This window comes from Homo sapiens, chromosome X (assembly GCF_000001405.40).
Source record: "Homo sapiens chromosome X, GRCh38.p14 Primary Assembly".
Classification (NCBI taxonomy): Eukaryota; Metazoa; Chordata; class Mammalia; order Primates; family Hominidae; genus Homo; species Homo sapiens.
In genome coordinates this window covers 62,678,276-62,697,967 of record NC_000023.11, presented here as the reverse complement: position 1 = coordinate 62,697,967, position 19,692 = coordinate 62,678,276, and the positions used below count along the sequence as shown (strand labels likewise).

Here is a 19,692-nt window from a genome sequence, read left to right as displayed (position 1 = left end):
TTCTACTAGAATGTGCAAAGGGCTATTTTGGAGCCCTTTGAGGCCTATGGTGAAAAAGGAAATATCTTCCAATACAGACTAGAAAGTAAGTTTCTGAGAAATTGCTTTGTGATGTGTGCATTCCTCTCACTGAGTTGAACCATTCTTTTGATGGAGCAGTTTGGAAACAGAGTGTTTGTAGAATCTGCAAAGGGATATTTGGATTCACCTGGAGGCCTTTGGTGAAAAACAAATATCTACCAATACAAACTAGAGAGAAGCATTCTCAGAAACTGCTTTCTGATGTGTGCATTCATCTCACAGAGTTGAACCATTCTTTTGATTGAGCAGTTTGGAATCACTGTTTTTGCAGAATCTGCAAAGGGATAATTGGGAGTGCTTTGAGGCCTATGGTAATAAAGGAAATATCTTCACATAAAAACTAGAAATAATCTTTCTGAGAAACTGCTTTGTGATGTGTCCATTCCTCTAACAGAGTTGAACCATTCTTTTGGTTGAGCAGTTTGGAACCACTGCTTTTCTAGAATCTACCCAGGGATATTTGTGAGTGCTTTGAGGCCCATGATGAAAAAGGAATTATCCTCACATTAATACTAGAAAGGAGCTTTCTTAGAAACTGCTTTGTGATGTGTGCATTTGTCTCACAGAACTAAAACCTTCTTTTGATTCAGCAATTTGGAAACACCGTTTTTGTAGAATCTGCAAAGGGATATTTGGGAGCATTTTCAGGCCTAAGGTGAAAAAGGAAATATCTTCACCTAAAAACTCGAAGGAAGCTTTCTGAGAAACTGCTTTGTGAAGTGTGCATTTCTCCCACAGAGCTGACCCATTCTTTTGATTGAGCAGTTTAGAAACACTATTTTTCTAGGAACTGCAAAGGGATACTTGTGAGTGTTTTGTGGCTTATGTTGAAAATGGAAATATCCCCACATAAAAACTAGAAAGGAGCTTTCGTAGAAACTGCTTTGTGATCTGTGCTTTCATCTCACAGAGTTAAACCATTCTTTTGATTGAGCAGTTTGAAAACACAGTGTTTGTAGAATCTGTGAAGGGATATTTGGATTCACATGGAGGCCTGTGGTGAAAAGGAATTATCTTCCAATACGAACGAGACAGAAGCTTTCTGAGAGACTGCTCTGTGATGTGTGCATTCATCTCACAGAGTTGAACCATTCTTTTGATGGAACAGTTTGGAACCACTGTTTCTGCACACTCTCGAAAGGGATACTTGGGAGTCCTTTGTGTCTTGTGGTGAATAAGGAAATATCCTTACATAAAAACTAGAAAGGGGCTTTCAGAGAAACTAATTTGTGATATGTGCATTCACCTCACAGAGTTAAAACTTTCTTTTGATTCAGCATTTTGGAAACACCATTTTTGTAGAATCTGCAAAGGGATATTTGTGAGTGCTCTGAGGCCTATGGTGAAAAAGGAAATATCTTCACATAGAAGCTACACAGAAGCTTTCTGAGAAACATCTTTGTGATGTGTGCATTCATCTCACAGAGTTGAACCATTCTTTTGATTGAGCATTTTGGAAACAGTCCTTTGTAGATTCTGCAAAGGGATATTTGGGAGCGCTTTGAGGCTTATGGTGAAAAAGGAAATATCATCACATAAAAACTAGGCAGAAGCTTTCTGAGAAAGTACTTTGTGATGTGTGCATTAATCTCACAGAGATGAAACATTCTTTTGCTTGAGCAGTTGGGAAACATTGTTTTTGTAAAACTGCAAAGGGATATTTTTGAGCACTTTGAGGCTTAGGGTGAAAAAGGAAATGTCCCCACATAAAAACTAGAAAGAAGGTTTCTGAGAAACTGCTTTGTGATGTGTGCATTCATCTCAGAGAGATAAACGTTTCTTTTCATTGAGCAGTTTGGAAACTCTGTTCTTGTAGAATCTTCAAAGGGATATTTGTGAGCGATTTGAGGCCTATTGTGTAAAAGGAAATATCTGCACATAAAAACTAGACAGATAAATTCTGAGAAACTTGTTTGTGATGCGTGCATTCAACTCACAGATTTGAAAAATTGTTTTGATAGAGCAGTTTGGAAAGGGTCTTTTTGTACAATCTGCAAAGGGATATTTGTGAGTGCTCTGAGGCCTATGGTGAAAAAGGAAATGCCTTCACATAAAAACTAGACAGAAGCTTTCTGAGAAACTACTTTGTCATGTGTGCATTCATGCCACAGAGGTAAACGTTTCTTTTTAGTGAGCAGTTTGGAAAGAGTCTTTTTGAAATATGTTCAAAGGGATATTTCTGAGTGCTATGAGGCCTATGATGCAAAAAGAAATCTCTTCACATAAAAACTAGACAGAAGCTTTCTGAGAAACTTTTTTGTGATGTGTGCATTCGTCTCACACAGTTGAACCATACTTTTGATTGAGCAGTTTGGAAACAGCCTTTTTTTAGAATCTGCAAAGGGATATTTGTGATTGCTTTGAGTCCTATGGTGAAAAAGGAAATATCTTCACATAAAAACTAGGCAGAAGCTTTCCAGGAAACTTCTTTGTGATGTGTGCATTCATCCCAGAGAGTTGAACCATTTTTTTGATTGAGCACTTTGGAAACTGTATTTTTGTAGAATCTGTAAAGGGATATTTGGGAGTACTTTCAGGCCTATGGTGAAAAAGGAAACATCTTCAAATAAAAACTAGGAAGATGGTTTCTGAGAAACTGCTTTGTGATGTGTGCATTCATCTCACACAAGTAAACATTTCCTTTCATTGCAAAGTTTGGAAACTCTGTTCTTGTAGAATATGCAAAGGGATATTTGTGAGCCCTTTGGGGCCTATGTTGAAAAGGGAAATATCTTCACATAATAACTAGACAGAAGCTTTCTGAGAAACTTCTTTGTGATGTGTGCATTCACCTCCCAGAGTTGAAACATTCTTTTGATTGAGCAGTTTGGAAACAGTCTTTTTGCAGAATCTGCAAACAGATATTTGGGAGCACTTTGAGGCCTGTGGTGAAAAAGGAAATATCTTCACATAAAAACTAGAAAGAAGCTTTCTGATAAACTGCTTTGTGATGCATGCATGCATCTCACAGATGTAAACGTTTATTTTCATTGAGCAGTTTTGATAGTCTGTTCCTGTAGAATCTGGAAAGGGATATTTTTGAACTCTTTGAGGACTATGGAGAAAAAGGAAATATCTTCACATGAAAACTAGTCTGAGGCTTTCTGACAATCTTCTTTGTGGTGTGCACATTGATCTCAAAGAGTTGAACCATTCTTTTGATTGAGCAGGTTGGAAACAGTCTTTTTGTAAGATCTGTAAAGGGATATTTGGAACACTTTGAAGAATATGGTGAAAAAGGAAATATCTTCATATAAGAGCTAGACAAAAGGTTTCTGAGAAACTGATTTGTGATGTGTGCATTCATCTCACAGAGTTAAACGTTTCTTTTCATTGAGCAGTTTTAGAACTTTGATCTTGTAGAATCTGCAAAGGGATATTTGTGACCACTTTGAGGCCTGTGATGGTAAAGGAAATATCTTCTCATAAAAACTAGACAGATGCTTTCTGAGAAACTTCTTTGTGAGATGTGAATTCATCTCACAGAGTTGAACCATTCCTCTGATTGAGCAGTTTGGAAACCTTCTTTTTGTACAATATGCAAAGGGATTTTTGTGAGCGCTTTGAGGCTTATGGTGAAAAACAAATATGTTCACAAAAAACTAGAAAGAAGTTTTCTGAGAAACTGCTTTGAGATATGTGCATTCATCTTACAGAGGTAAACGTTTCTTTTCATTGAGCAGTTTGAAAACTCTGGTCTTGTAGAATCTGCAAAGGGATACTTTTGAGTGCTTTGAGGCCTATGGTGAAAAAGGAAATATCTTCACATAAAAACCAGAAAGAAGGTTTCCTAGAAACTTCTTTGGGATAAGTGCATTCATCCCACAGAATTGAAATTTTGTTTTGATTGAGCAGTCTGGAAACAGTCTTTTTGTAGAATCTGCAAAAGGATACTTGGGAGTGCTTTCAGGCCTGTTGTGAAAAAGGAAATATCTTCACAAAAAACAAGAAAGAAGGTTTCTGAGAAACTGCTCTGTGATGTGTGCATTCATCACACAGAGGTAAAGGTTTCTTTTCAGTCAGCAGTTTGGAAAATCTGTTCTTATAGAATCTCCAAAGGGATTCTTGGGAGCGCTTTCATGCCTATGGTGAAAAAGGAAATAAACGCACATGAAAACTAGACAGAAGCTTTCTGAGAAACTAGTTTGTGACGTGTGTATTCATCTAAAGGAGATGAACCATTCTTTTGTTCGAGTAGTTTGGAATCTGTCTTTTTGTAGAACCTGAAAAGATATATTTTGAGTGCTTTGAGGCCTATGGTGAAAAAGGAAATGTCTACACATAAAAGCTAGAAAGATGATTTCTGAGAAACTGCTTTGTGATGTGTGCATTCATCTCACAGATGTAAACGTTTCTTTTCATTGAGCAGTGTGGAAACTCTATTCTTCTAGAATCTGCAAAGGGATATTTCCGAGCACTTGAGGCCTATGGTGAAAAAGGAAATATCTTCAAATAAAAACTAGAAAGAACCTTTCTGAGAAACTTCTTTTTGATGTGTGCATTCATCTCACAGAGTTGAACCATTCTCTTGATTGATAAGTTTGGATAATCTTTTTGTAGAATCTTCAAAGGGATATATGTGAGGGGTTTGATGCCAATGGTGAAAAAGGATATATCTTCACAAAGAAACTAGACAGAAGCTTTCTGGGAAACTTGTCTGTGATGTGTGCATTCATCTCACAGAGTTGAACCATTCTTTTGATGAAGCAGTTTGGAAACAGTCTTTTTGTAGAATCTGCAAAGAGATAGCTCTGAGCACTTTGAGGCCCATGTTAAAAAAGGAATTATCTTCACATTAAATCTAGAAAGAAGGTTTCTGAGGAACTGCCTTATGCAGTTTTCCAAACTGCAGTTTCCAAACTCCTCAATGAACAGAAACGTTTTCCTCTGTGAGATGAATGCACACATCATAAAGTAGCTTCTCAGAAAGCTCCTGTCTAGTTTTTATGTGAAGATATTACCTATTTAACCATAGGCCTCAAAGTGCTCACAAACATCCCTTTGTGGATTTTACAGAAACAGTTTCCAAACTGCTCAATGAAAAGAAACTTTTTTACCTTGGTGTGATGAATGCACACATCTCAAAGCAGTTTCTCAAAAAACTTCTTTCTAGTATTTATGTGAAAATATTTCCTTTTTCATGATGATTGATAGGCTTCAAAGCACTCACAAATATCCCTTTGCAGATTCTACAAGAACAGAGCTTCCAAACTGCTCAATGAATAGAAACGTTTATCTCTGTGAGATGAATGCACACATCACAAAGCAGTTCCTCTGAAACCTTCTTTCTAGTTTTTATGTGAAGATATCCACATAGACTTCAAAGCACTCAAAAATATCCCGTTGCAGATTCTACAAAAAGACTGTTTCCAAAATGCTCAATGAAAAGAAACATTTACCGCTGTGAGATGAATGCACACATCACAAAACAGTTTCTCAGAAAGCTTCCTTCTAGTTCTAATGTGAAGATATTTCCTTTTTCACCATAGGCCCGAAAGGGCTCAAAATTATCCATTTGCAGACTGTACAAAAACACTGTTTCCTAACTCCTCAATCAAAAGAATTGTTCAAGTCTGTGACTTGAATGCACACATCACAAACAAATTTCTTCAAAAGCTTCTGTCTAGTTCTTATGTGAAGATATTTCCTTTTCCACCATATGCCTCAAACCACCTAAAAATATCCCTTTGCAGATTCTACAAAAAGACTGTTTCAAAACTGCTCAATCCAAGGAGACATTGAACTCTGTGAGATGAATGCACACATCACAAAGCAGTTTTTCAGAAACCTTCTGTCTACTTTTTATCTGAAGATATTTCTTTTTATCATCACCATAGGACTGAAAGCGCTCACATATAACCCTTTGCAGATTCTACAAAAAGATTGTTTCCAAACTGCTCAATCAAAAGAATGGTTCAACTCTGTGACACGAATGAACACATTACAAAGAAGTTTCTCAGAAAGCTTCTTTCTAGATTTTATGTGAAGCTATTTCCTTTTTAACCATAGGCCTCAGAGCACTCACATATATTCCTTTGCAGATTCTATACGAACAGAGTTTCCAAACTGCTGAATGAAAAGAGACTTTTACTTCTGTGAGGAAAATGCACACATCAGGGAGCAGTTTCTCAGAAACCTTCCTTCTATTTTTTTTGTGATCATATTTCCTTTTTGACCTTCGACCCCACAGAGCTCACAAATATCCCTTTGCAGATTCTACATAAAGACTGTTTCCAAACTGCTCAAGAAAAAAAAAATGGTTCAATTCTGGGACATGAATGCACACATCAAAAAGAAGTTTCTCAGAAAGCTTCTGTCTAGTTTTTATGTGAAGATATTTGCTTTTTCACCATAGGCCTCTAAGCGCTCAAAAATATCCCCTTGCAGATTATACAAAAAGATTGTTTCCAAACTGCTCAATCAAAAGAATGGTTCAACTCTGTGTGATGAATGCACTCATCACAAAGAAGTTTCTCAGAAAGATTCTGTCTAGTTTTTATGTGAGGATATTTCCTTTTTCACCATAGTCCTCAAAGTGCTCACAAATATCACTTTGTAGATGTTACAAAAAGACTATTTCCAAAGTGCTTAATGAAGAGAATGGTTCAACTCTGTGAGATGAAGGCACACATCACAACGAAGTTTCTCAGAATGCTTCTGTCTAGTTTTTATTTGAAGATATTTCCTTTTTCACCATAGGCCTCAAAGTGCTCACAAATATCCCTTTGGGGATTCTACAAAAAGACTGTTTACAAACTGCCCAATCAAAAGAATGGTTCAGTTCTGTAAGATGAATGAACACAGTACAAAGAAGTTTCACCAAAAGTTTCTGTCTAGTTTTTATATGAAGACATTTCCTTTTTCTCTATAGACCTCAAAACGCTCACAAATATCCCTTTGCAGATTCTACAAGAAGAGAGTTATCAATCTGCTCAATGAAAATAAATGGGTACCTCTGTGAAATGAATGCACACGTCTCAAAGAAGTTTCTGAGAAAGCTTCTGTCTAGTTTTTATGTGAAGACATTTGCTTTTTCACCATGGGACTGAAATCGCTCACAAATATCCCTTTGCAGATTCTACAAAAAGAGACTTTCCAAACTGCTCAAGCAAAAGAAAGTTTCAACTCTGTGAGATGAATGGACACATCACAAAGAAGTTTCTCAGAAAGCTTCTGTCTAATTTTAATGTGAAGATATTTCCTTTTTCACCATCGACCACAAAGCACCCACAAATATCCCTTTCCTGAATCTACAAAAAGACTGTTTCCAAACTGCACAAACAAAAGAATGGTTCAACTCCATGAGATGAATGCACACATCACAAAGAATTTTCTTTGAAAGTTTCTGTCTAGTTTTTAGGTGAAGATATTCCTTTTTCATGATATGCCTCTAAATGTTCACAAATATCCCTTTGCAGACTCTACAAGAAAAGAGTTTCCAATACGCACAATGAAAAGAAATGGGTACCTCTTTGAGTTGAATGCCCAAGTCACAAAGAAGTTTCTCAGAAACCTTTTCTCTAGTAGTTATGTGAAGATATTTCCTTTTCCAACGAAGGCCTCAGAGTGCTCACAAGTATCCATTTGCAGATTCTACAAAAAGACTGTTTCCATACTACTCAATCAGAAGGATGGTTCACCTCTGTGAGATACATTGTCAGATCAAAAAGCAGTTTCTCAGAAACCTTCTTTATAGTTTTTATGTGAAGATATTTCCTTTTTCACCATACGCCTCAAAGTGCTCAAAAATATCCCCTTGCAGATTCTACAAAAAGACTGTTTCCAAACCCCCAAAACAAAAGAATGGTTCAACCCTGTAAGATGAATGCACACATCACAAATAAGTTTCTCAGAAAGCTTCTGTCTAGTTTTTATGTGAAGGTATTTCCTTTTTCACCATAGGCCACAAAGCACTCAAAAATATCCATTTGCAGATTCTGCCAAAACACTGTTTGCAAACTTCTCAATCAAAAGAAAGTTTCAAATCTGTGAGATGAATGCACACATCAAAAATAAGTTTCTAAGAAAGTCTCTGTCTAGTTTTTATGAGAAGATAGTTCCTTTTTCACCATAGTCCTCAAAGCACTCACAAATATCCCTTTGCAGATTCTACAAAAAGACTGTCTCCAAACTGCTCAATCAAAACAAAGGTTCAACTCTGTGAGATGAATGCACACATCACAAAGAAGTTTCTCAGAAAGCTTCTGTCTAGTTTTTATGTGAAGATATTTCCTTTTTCACCATAGGCCTCAAAGCACTCACAAATATCCCTTTACAGATTCTGCAGAGAACAGAGTTTCCAAACGGTTCAATGAAAAGAAACATTTACCTGTGTGAGATGAAAGCACACATCACAAAGAAGCATTTTCTCAGTAACGTTCTGTCTAGTTTATTTGTGAAGGCATTTCCTTTTTCACCATAGGCCTCAATGAGCTCACAAATATCCCTTTGCAGATTCTATAAAAAGACCGTTTCCAAACTGCTCAATCAAAAGAAAGGTTCTACTCTCTGAGATGAATGCACAAGTCACAAAGATGTTACCCAAAAAGCTTCTGTCTAGTTTTAATGTGATGATATTTACTTTTTCTCTCTAGGACTCAAACCTCTCACAAATATCCCTTTGCAGATCCTGCAAAAGACTGTTTGCAAACTGCTCAATCAAAAGAATGTTTAAAATCTGTGAGATGAATTCACAGAGAAGAAGTTTCGAAGGAAACTTCTGTCAAGTTTTTATGTGAAGATATTTCCTTTATCATGATAGCCCTCAAAGCACTCAGAAATAATCCTTTGCAGATTCTACAAAAAGACTGTCTCCAAACTGCTCAATCAAAATAAAGTTTCAACTCTATGAGATGAATGCACACAGCACAAAGAAGTTTCTAAGAAAGTATCTGTGTAATTTTTATGGGAAGATATTTCCTTTTTCACCGTTGGCTCCAAATCGCTCAGAAATACCCCTTTGCAGATTGTACAAAGAGAATGCTTCCAAACTGCTCAATCTGTCTAGATTTTATGTGAAGATATTTCCTTTTTTCACCATAGGTCTCAAAGGGCTCACAAATATCCCTTTGCAGAATCTCCAAAAAGACTGTTTCTGCACTGCTCAATGAAACGAATGGTTCAACTCTGTGAGATAAATGCCCACATCATAAAGAAGTTTCTCAGAAAGTTTCTGTCTAGCTTTAACGTGAAGATATTTCCTTTTTCACCATAGTCCTCAAAACACTCACAAATATCCCATTGTGGATTCTAAAACAGACTGTTTCCAAACTGCTCAATCAAAAAAGGTTAAACTCTGTCAGATGAATGCACACAAAAGAAAGAAGTTTCTCAGAAAGCTTCTGTCTGATTTTTACGTGTAGATATTTCCTTTTTCACCATAGGCCTCCAACCGCTCACACATATCCCTTTGCAGATTCTACAAAAAGACTGCTTCCAGACTGCTCTACTAAACCAAAGGTTCACTCTGTGAGATGAATGCACACATCACAAAGCAGTTTCTCTGAAAACTTCTGTCTAGTTTTTACGTGAAGATATTTACTTTTTCACCATAGGCCTCAAAGGGCTCAAAAATATCCCTACGAAGAACGTACAAAAAGACAGTTTCTGAACTGCTCAACCAAAGAAAGGTTCAACACTGTGAGATGAATGCACACATCACAAAGAAGTTTCTCCAAAAGCTTTTGTCTACTTTTTATGTGAAGATATTTCCTTTTTCACCATAGGCCTCAAAGTGCTCAAAAATATCCCTTTGCAGATCCTATGAAAAGACTCTTTCCAAACTGCTTAATCAAATGAAAGTTTCTACACTGTGAGCTGAATCCACACATCACAAAGAAGTTTCTCAGAAAGCTTCTGTCTAGGTTTTATGGGAAGATATTTCCTTTTTCGCCATAGGCCTCAAAGCGCTCACAAGTATCTCTTTGTGGATTCTACAAAAAGATTGTTTCCAAGCTGCTCAATTGAAAGAAATATTCAACTCTGTGAGATGAATGTATGTACCAGAAAGACATTTCTCAGAATGCTTCTGTCTAGTTTTTACATGAAGATATTTCCTTTCTCACCATATGCCTCAAACCACTCACAAATATCCCTTTGCGAATTCTACAAAAAGTCTGTTTCCAAACTGCTCTTTCAAAAGAAAGGTTCAACTCTGTGAGATGAAGGCACACATCACAAAGAAGTTTCTCAGAAACCTTCTGTTTAGTTTTTATGTGAAGATATTTCCTTTTTCACCATAGGCTTCAAAGTGCTCACAAATATCCCTTTGCAGTTTCTACAAGAACAGCGTTTCCAATCTTCTCAATGAAAAGAAATGTTTGCTTCTGTGAGAAGGATGCACACATCACAAAGCAGTTTCTCATAAACTTTCTGGCTAGTTTTTATGTGAAGATATTTCTTTTTCACCACAGCCTTCAAAGTTATCACAAATATCCCTTTGCAGATTCTACAAAAAGACTGTTTCCAAGCTGCTCAGTCAAATGAAAGATTCAACACTGTGAGATGAAAGCACACATCACAAAGAAGTTAATCAGAAACCTTCTGTCTAGTTTTAATTTGATGATGTTTACTTTTTCACCCTAGGCTTTAAACTGCTCACAAATAATATACCTTTGCAGATTCTGCAAAAAGAGTGTTTGCAAACTGCTCAATCAAAAGGAAAGTTTCAAATCTGTGAGATAAATTCACACATCACAAAGAAGTTTCTAAGGAAGCTTCTGTCTAGTTTTTATGGGAAGATATTTCCTTTTTCACCATAGGCCTCAAAGGGGTCACAAATATCCCATTACTGATTCTGCTAAAAGACAGTCTCCACCTGTTCAATCAAAAGAAAGGTTCAACTCCATGAGATGAATGCACACATCAAAAAGAAGTTCCTCAGAAAGCATCTGTTTAGTTTTTATGTGAAGATATTTACTTTTTCACCATAGGCCTCAAAGCAGTCGAAAATATCCCTTAGCAGATTCTACAAGAAGAATGCTTCCAAACTGCTCAATCAAAAGACATATTCAAGTCTGTGAGATGAATGCACACATCACAAAAGTTTCTCAGAAAGCTTCTGTCTAGTTTTCATGTGAAGTTATTCCTTTTTCACAACAGGCCTTAACGTGCTCACAAATATCCCTTTGCAGGTTCTGTAAAAAGACTGTTTCCAAACTGCTCAATCAAAAGAAAGTTTCAGATCTGTGAGATGAAAACACACATCAAAAAGAAGTTTCTCAGAAAGCTTCTGTCTAGTTTTCATGTGAAGTTATTCCTTTTTCACCATAGGCATCAAAGCGCTCACAAATATCCCTTTGCAGATTCTACAAAAAGACTGTTTCCAAACTGCTCAATCAAAAGAAAAATTCAAATATGTGGGACGAATGCACACATCACAATGAAGTTTCTAAGAAAGTTTCTCTCTAGTTTTTATGTGAAGATATTTCCCTTTTCACCACAGTCCTCAAAGTGCTCAGAAATATCCCTTTGCAGATTCTACAAAAAGACTTTTTCCACACTGCTCATTCAGAAGAAATGTTCAACTCTGTGAGATGAATGGACGCATCACAAAGAAGTTTCTCAGAAAGCTTCTGCCTAGTTTTTATGTGAAGATATTTCATTTTTCCCCATAGGCCTCAAAGCGCTCACAAATGTCACTTTGCAGATTCTACAAAAAGACTGTTTCCAAAGTTCTCAATCAAAAGAAAGTTTCAACTCTCTGAGGTGAATGCACACATCACAAAGAAGTTTCTCAGAAAGTTTATGTCTAGTTTTTATGTGAGGATACTTCCTTTTTCACCATAGGCCTCAAAGTGCTCATAAATATCCCTTTGCAGATTCTACAAAAAGACTGTTTCCAAACTGCTCAATCAAAAGAAAGGTTCAACTCGGTGAGATGAATGCACACATCACAAAGAAGTTTCTCAGAAAGCTTCTGTCTGGTTTTTATGTGAAGATATTTCCTTTTCACCATAGGCCTCAAAGCACTCAAAAGTGTCCCTTTGCAGATTCCACAAAAAGACTGTTTCCAAACTGCTCAATCAACAGAAGGGTTAAGCTGTGTGAGATGAATGTACACATCATAAAGAAATTCCTCAGATAGCTTACTTTTAGTTTTTAAGTGAAAATACTTCCTTTTTCACCATAGGCCTCAAAGCATTCACAAATATTCCTTTGCAGATTCTACAAGAAGAGAGTTTCCAATCTGCTCAATGAAAACAAACGTTTACCTCTGTGAGATGAATGTACACATTACAAAGCAGTTTCTCAGAAACCTTCTGTCTATTTTTATGTGAAGATATTTCCTTTTTCAACACAGGCCTAAAAAGGGCTCACAAATACTGCTTTGCAGATTCTACAAAAAGACTGTTGTTTACTAATGGCTCAATCAAAAGAAAAGTTCAAATGTGTGAGATGAATGCACACAACAGAAAGAAGTTTCTCAGAAAGCTTCTGTCTAGTTTTTATGGGAAGATATTTCTTTTTTCACCATAGGCCTCCAACCACTCAAAAATATCCCTTTGCAGATTCTACAAAAAGAGTTTTTCCAAGCTGCTCAATCAAAAGAAAGGTTCAATTCTGTGAGATGAATGCGCATATCAGAAAGAAGTTTATCAGAAAGTTTCTGTCTACTTTTTTCCTTTTTCACTATAGGCATCAAAGCGCTCACAAATATCCATACACAGATTGTACAAGAACAGACTTTCCAATCTACTCAATGAAAAGAAACGTTTACCTCTGTGAGATGAATGCACACATCAAAAAGCATTTTCTCAGTAAACTTCTGTCCAGTTTTTATATGAAGATATTTCCTTTTTCACATAGGCCTCAAAGAACTCACAAATATCCCTTTGCACATTCTACAGAAAGACTGTTTCCAAACTGCTCAATGAAAAGAAATGTTCAACTCTGTGAGACGAATGCACCCAACAGAAAGAAGTTTATCAGAAAGCTTCTGTCTAGTTTTTACTTGAAGATGTTTCTTTTTACTATAGGTCTCAAACCACTCACAAATATCCCAGTGCAGATTCTACAAAAAGACTCTTTCCAAGCTGCACAATCAAAACAAAGGTTCAACTTTGTGAGAAGAATGCACACATCACAAAGAAGATTCTCAGAAAGCTTCTGTCCAGTTTTAATGTGAAGATGTTTCCTATTTCACCATGGGCCTGAAAGCACTCACCAATATCCCTTTTCAGATTCTACAGGAAGAGAGCTTCCAATCTGCTCAATGTAAAGAAACTTTTACCTCTGTTAGATTAATGCACGTATCTCAAAGCAGTTTCTCAGAAACCTTCTGTCTAGTTTTTATGTGAAGATATTTCCTTTTTCACCATTGCCCTCAAAGGGCTCACAAATATTCCTTTGCAGATTCTACTAAAAGACCCTTTTAAAACTGCTCAATCAAAAGAAAGGTTCAACTCTGCGGGATGAAAGCACACATCACAAATAAGTTTCTGAGAAAGATTCTGTCTAGTTTTTATGTGAAGATACTACCTTTTTAACCATTGTCCTCAAAGCACTCACAAACATCTCTTTGCTGATTCTACAAAAAGACTGTTTCCAAACTGCTCAATCAAAAGAAATTTTCAACTCTGTGAGACAAATGCAAACAACAGAATGAAGTTTCTCAGAATGCTTCTGTCTAGTTTTTACATGAAGATATTTCCTTTTACACCGTAAGACTCAAACCGCTCACAAATATCTCTTGGCAGATTCTACAAAAAGACTGTTTCCAAACTGCTCAATCAAAAGAAATGTTCAAATCTATGAGATGAATGCACACAACAGAAAGAAGTATCTCAGAACGCTTCTGTCTAGTTTTTACATGAAGACATTTCCTTCTTCACCGTAGGCCACAAACTGCTCATAAATAATATCCCTTTGCAGACTCTACAAAACGACTGTTTCCAAAATGCTCAATGAAAAGATAGGTTCAACTCTGTGAGATGAATGCACACATCATAAAGATCTTTGTCAGAAAGCTTCTGTCTAGTTTTTACATGAAGATATTTCCTTTTTCACCACAGGCCTCAAAGGGCTCAAAAAATCCCTCTGCAGTATCTACAAAAAGACTGTTTCTGCCCTGCTCAATCAAAAGAAAGGTTCAAATCTGTGAGATGAATGCACACATCACAAAGAAGTTTCTCAGACTGCTTCTGTCTCCTTTTTATATGAAGATATTTCCTTTTTCACCATTGGCCTCAAAGTGAACATAGATATCCCTTTGCAGATTCTACAAGAACAGAGGTTCCAATCTGCTCAATGAAAAGAAACGTTTACCTCTGTGAGATGAATGCACACATCACAAAGCTTTTTCTCAGAAACCTTCTGGCTAGTTTTTATGTGAAGATGTTTCCTTTTTCACATAGACCTCAAAGGACTCAAAAAATTCCTTTGCAGATTCTACAAAAAGACTGTTTCCAAACTGCTCAATCAAAAGAAAGTTTCAATTCTGTGAGATGAATTCATACATCACAGTGAAGTTTCTGAGAAAGCTTCTGCTAGTATTTGTGTGAAGATATTTCCTTTTTCACCATAGGCCTCAAACCGCTCACAAATATCACTTTGAAGATTCTACAGAAAGATTGTTTCCAAACTGCTCAATCAAAATAAAGGTTCAACTCTGTGAGATGAATGCACACATCACAAAAGGTTTCTCAGAAAGCTTCTGCCTAGTTTTTACATTAAGATATTTCCTTTTTCACCATAGCCCTCAAAGCAATCACAAATATCCCTTTGCAGATTCTACAAAAAGACATTTTTGAAACTGCTCAATTAAAAGAAATGTTCAACTCCATGAGATGAATGCACATATCCAAAGAAGTTTCTCAGAAAGCTTCTGTTTAGTTTTTATGTGAAAAAATTTCCTTCTTCATCATAGGCCTCAAAGTGCTCACAAATATCCTTTTGCAGATTCTACAAAAATACTGTTTCCAAACTGCTCAATCAAAGAAATATTCAACTCTGGGAGATGAATGCACACATCACAAAGAAGTTTCTCAGAAAGCTTCTGTCTAGGTTTTATGTAAAGATATTTCCTCTTTTGCCTTAGGCCCCAAAGCACTCACAAATGTCCCTTTGCAGATTCCAGAAAAAGACTGTTCCCAAACTGCTCAATCAAAAGATAGTTTCAACCCTGTGAGATGAATGCACACATCACAAAAAAGTTTCTCAGAAACTTCTGTCTTCTTTTTATGTGAAGATATTTCCTTTTTCACCATTGGCCTCAAAGGGCTCAAAAATATTCTTTTGCAGATTCTACAAGAACAGTGTTTCCAATCTGCTCATGAAAAGAAACGTTTACCTCTGTGAGATGAATGCACAGATCACAAATCAGTTTCTAAGAAACCTTCTGTCTAATTTTTATGTGAAGATATTTCCTTTTTAACCATAGGTCTCAAATGGCTCCCAAGTATCCCTTTGCAGATTCTACAATAGGACTGTTTCCAAACTGCTCAATGAAAACAAAGGTTCAACTCTGTGCACACATCACAAAGAAGCTTCTCAGAAAGATTCTGTCTAGTTTTTACGTGAAAATACTTCCTTTTTCACCATAGGCCTCAAAGTGCTCATAAATATCCCTTTGTGGATTCTACAAAAACACTGTTTCCAAACTGCTCAATCAAAAGAAATTTTCAACTCTGTGAGATGAATGCACACAACAGAAAGAAGTTTCTCAGAAAGCTTCTATCTAGTTTTTATGTGCAGATATTTCCTTTTTCACCATAGTCCTCAAACAGCTCAGAAATAACCCTTTGCAAATTCTACAAAACGACTGTTTCCAAAATGCTCTATCAAAAGGTAGGTTCAACTGTGTGAGATGAATGCACACGTCACGTGGCACTTTCTCGGAAAGCTTCTGTCTAGTTTTTATGTGAAGATATTTCCTTTTTTACCATAAGAATCAAAGCGCTCACAAATATCCGTTTGCAGATTCTAAAAAAAAGTATGTTTCTAAAATGCTCAATCAAAAGAATGGTTCAACTCTGTGAGATGACTGCACACCTCACAAAGAAGTTTTTCAGAAATGTTCTGTCTTGTTTTTACTTGAAGATATTTCCTTTTTCAGCATAGGCCTCAAAGCACTCACAAATATCCCTTTGCAGATTATACAAAAAGACTGTTTCCAATCTGTTCAATCAAAAGAAACCTTCAACTCTGTGAGATGAATGCACGCATCACAAATAATTTTCTAAGAATGCTTCTCTCTAGTTTTTATGTGAGGATATTTCCTTTTCACCATAGGCCTCAAATAGCTCAAAAGTATCCCTTTGCAGATTGTACAAAAAGAATGTTTCCAAACTGCTCAACCAAAAGAAGGGTTAAATTCTGTGAGGTGAATGCTCACATCACAAAGCACTTTCTCGGAAAGCTTCTGTCTAATTTTTATATGAAGATATATTCTTTTTCACCATAGGCCTCAAAGCACTAAAAAATATCCCTTTGGAGATTCTACATAAAGACTGATTCCAAACTGCTCAATCAAAAGAAAGTTTCAACTGTCTGAGATGAATGCACACATCACAAAAAAGTTTCTAAGAAAGCTCCCGTCTAGTTTTTATGTGAAGATAATTCCTTTTTCACCATAGGCCTGAAAACGCGTCCAAATATCTTTTGTAGATTCTACAAGAACAGAGTTTCCAATTTGCTCAATGAAAGCAAATTGTTACCTCTGTGAGATGAATGCACACATCACAAAGAAGTTTCTCAGAAACCTTCTTTCCAGTTTTTATGTGAAGATGTTTCCTTTTTCACCATAGGCCTCATTGTGCTCACAAATGTCTCTTTGCAGATTCTACAAAAAGACGGATTCCACACTCCTCAATTAAAATAACGGTTCAAGTCTGTGAGATGAATGCACACATCACAAAGAAGTTTCTCCGAAACCTTCTGACTAGTTTTTAAGTGAGGATATTTCCATTTCCAACATAGGCCTCAAAGAGCTTACAAATATCCCTTTGCAGATTCTACATAAAGACTCTTTCCAAACTGCACACTCAAAAGAAAGGTTCCCCTCTGTGAGATGAATGCACACATCACAAACAAGTTTCTCAGAAAGCTTCTGTCTAGTTTTTATGTGAAGATATTTCCATTATCACTATAGGCATGAAAGAGCCTACAAATATCCCTTTGGAGATTCTACAAAAAGACTGTTTCCAAACTGCTCACTCAAAAGAAAGGTTCAACTCTGTGAGATGAATGCACACATCACAAAAGTTTCTCAGAAAGCTTCTGTATAATTTTTATGCGAAAATATTGCCTTTTTCACTGTAGGCCTCACAACACTCACAAATATTCCTTTGCAGATTCTACAAAAAGACTGTTTCCAAATTGCTCAATGAAAGGAAATGTTCAACTCTGTGAGATGAACATTTGTTCTGTTTCTGTGAGAAACAAAGGAGTTTCTCAGAAAGCTTCTCTCTAGCTTTTATGTGAAGGTATTTCCTTTTTTGACATAGGTATCAAAGCACTCTCAAATATCCCTTTGCAGATTCTTGAAGAACAGAGTTTCCAATCTGCTCAATGAAAAGAAACCTTTACCTCTGTTAGCTGAATGCACACGTCACAGAGCAGATTCTCAGAAACCTTCTGTTGAGTTTTTATATGAAGATATTTCCTTTTTCACCATAGGCCTCAAAGTACCCACAAATATACCCTTGAAGATTCTACAGAAAGACTGCTTCCAAACGGCTCAATGTAAAGAAAGGTTCAGCTCTGTCAGTTGAATGCACACATCACAAAGAAGTTTCTCCAAAAGCTTCTATCTGGTTTTTATGTGAAGATATTTCCTTTTTCACCATAGGCCTCCAACCGCTCACACATATCCCTTTGCAGATTTTACAAAAAGACTTTTTCCAAACTGCTCAATCAAAAGAATTGTTAAACTCTGTGAGGTGAATGCACACATCACAAAGAAGTTTCTCAGAAAGCTTCTGACTAGTTTTAATTTGAAGATATTTCTTTTTCAGCATAGGCCTCAAAGCGCTCACAAATATATCCCTTTGCAGATTCTACAAAAAGACTGTTTCCAATCTGCTCAATCAAAAGAAAGGTTCAATTGTGTGAGATGAATGCGAACATCACAAAGAAGTTTCTGAGAAATCTTCTGTCTTGTTTTTATGTAAAGCTATCTCTTTTTTCACCATAGGCCTAAAGCACTCAAAAATATCCCTTTGCAGATTCTACAAAAACACTGTTTCAAAACTAGTCAATCAGAAGAAATTTTTAACTCTGTGAGATGAATGCAGACATCAAGAAGATTCTCAGAAAGCTTCCGTCGTGCTTTAAGGTGAAGAAATTTCCTTTTTCACCATATCCCTTTGCAGCTTCTACCAGAGCAGAGTATTCAATCTTCTTTATGAAAAGAAACTTTTGCCTCTGTGAGATGAAAGCACACATCACAAAGCAGTTTCCAAGAAAACTTGTGTCTAGTTTTTATGTGAAGATATTTCCTTTTTCACCATAGGCTTCAAAGTGCTCACAAATATCCCTTTGAAGATTCTACTTAAAGACTGTTTCCAGACTGCTCAGTCAAAAGAAACGTTCAACTCTGGGTGATGAATGCACACAACACAAAGAAGTTTCTCAGAAAGCTTCTGTCCAGTTTTTATGTGGAGATTTTTCCCTTTTCACCATATGCCTCAAAGTGCTCACAAATATCCCCTTGCAGATTATACAAAATAAGTTTCCTAACTCCTCAATCAAAACAAAGATTCAACTATGTGAAGTGAATGCACACATCCAAAAAAGTTCTTCAGAAAGCTTCTGTCGAGATTTTATGTGAAGATAGTTCCTTTTTCACCATATCCCTCAAACCGCCTACAAATATCCCATTGCAGATCCTACAAAAAGACTGTTTCCGAACTGCTCAATCAAAAGAAATGTTCAACCCTGTGAGGTGAATGTGCACATAACAAAGAAGTTTCTCAGAAAGCTTTTGTCTAGTTTTTATGGGAAGATATTTCCTTTTTCACCACAGGCCTCAAAGCTCTCACAAATGTCCCTTTGCAGATTCTACAAAAAGACTTTTTCCAAACTTCTCAATCAAAACAAAGGTTCGACTCTGTGAGATGAATGCATCACAAAGAAGTTTCTCAGAAGGCTTCTGTCTAGTTTTTATGTGAAGATATCTCCTTTTTCTCAATGGGAATAAAAGGGATCACAAATATCATTTTGCAGAATCTATCACAAATATCACTTTGCAGAATCTACAAAAAGAATGTTTCCAAACTGCTCAATCAAAAGAAAGGTTCAACTCTCTGAGATGAATGCATGCATCACAAAGAAGTTTCTCAGAAACTTCTGTCTAGTTTTTATGTGATGATATTTCCTTTTTCACCATAGGCCTCAAACGGATCCCAAATATCCCTTTGCAGATTTTACAAAAAGACTGTTTCCAAACTTCTCAATCAAAAGAAAAGTTCAACTCTGTCAGATGAATGCACACATCACAAAAAAGTTTCTGAGAAACCTTCTGTCTACTTTCATGTGAAGAAATTTGTTTTTTCAACATAGGCCTAAAAAAGTTCAGAAATATTCCTTTGCAGATTCTAGAAAAATACTGTTTCCAAACTGCTCAATCAAAAGAAATGTCAACTCTGTGAGATGAATGCATGCATCACAAAG

General features: G+C 36.4%; 1 annotated feature.

Annotated features, from left to right (window-relative positions):
• Window positions 1,229–1,730: an enhancer, noted in NCBI's record as "OCT4 hESC enhancer chrX:61915708-61916209 (GRCh37/hg19 assembly coordinates)". NCBI's record gives its function as "activates a minimal SCP1, AML or CMV promoter by ChIP-STARR-seq in naive H9 embryonic stem cells {active_cell/tissue: H9 hESC(naive)}" and the evidence as "EXISTENCE:reporter gene assay evidence [ECO:0000049][PMID:30033119]".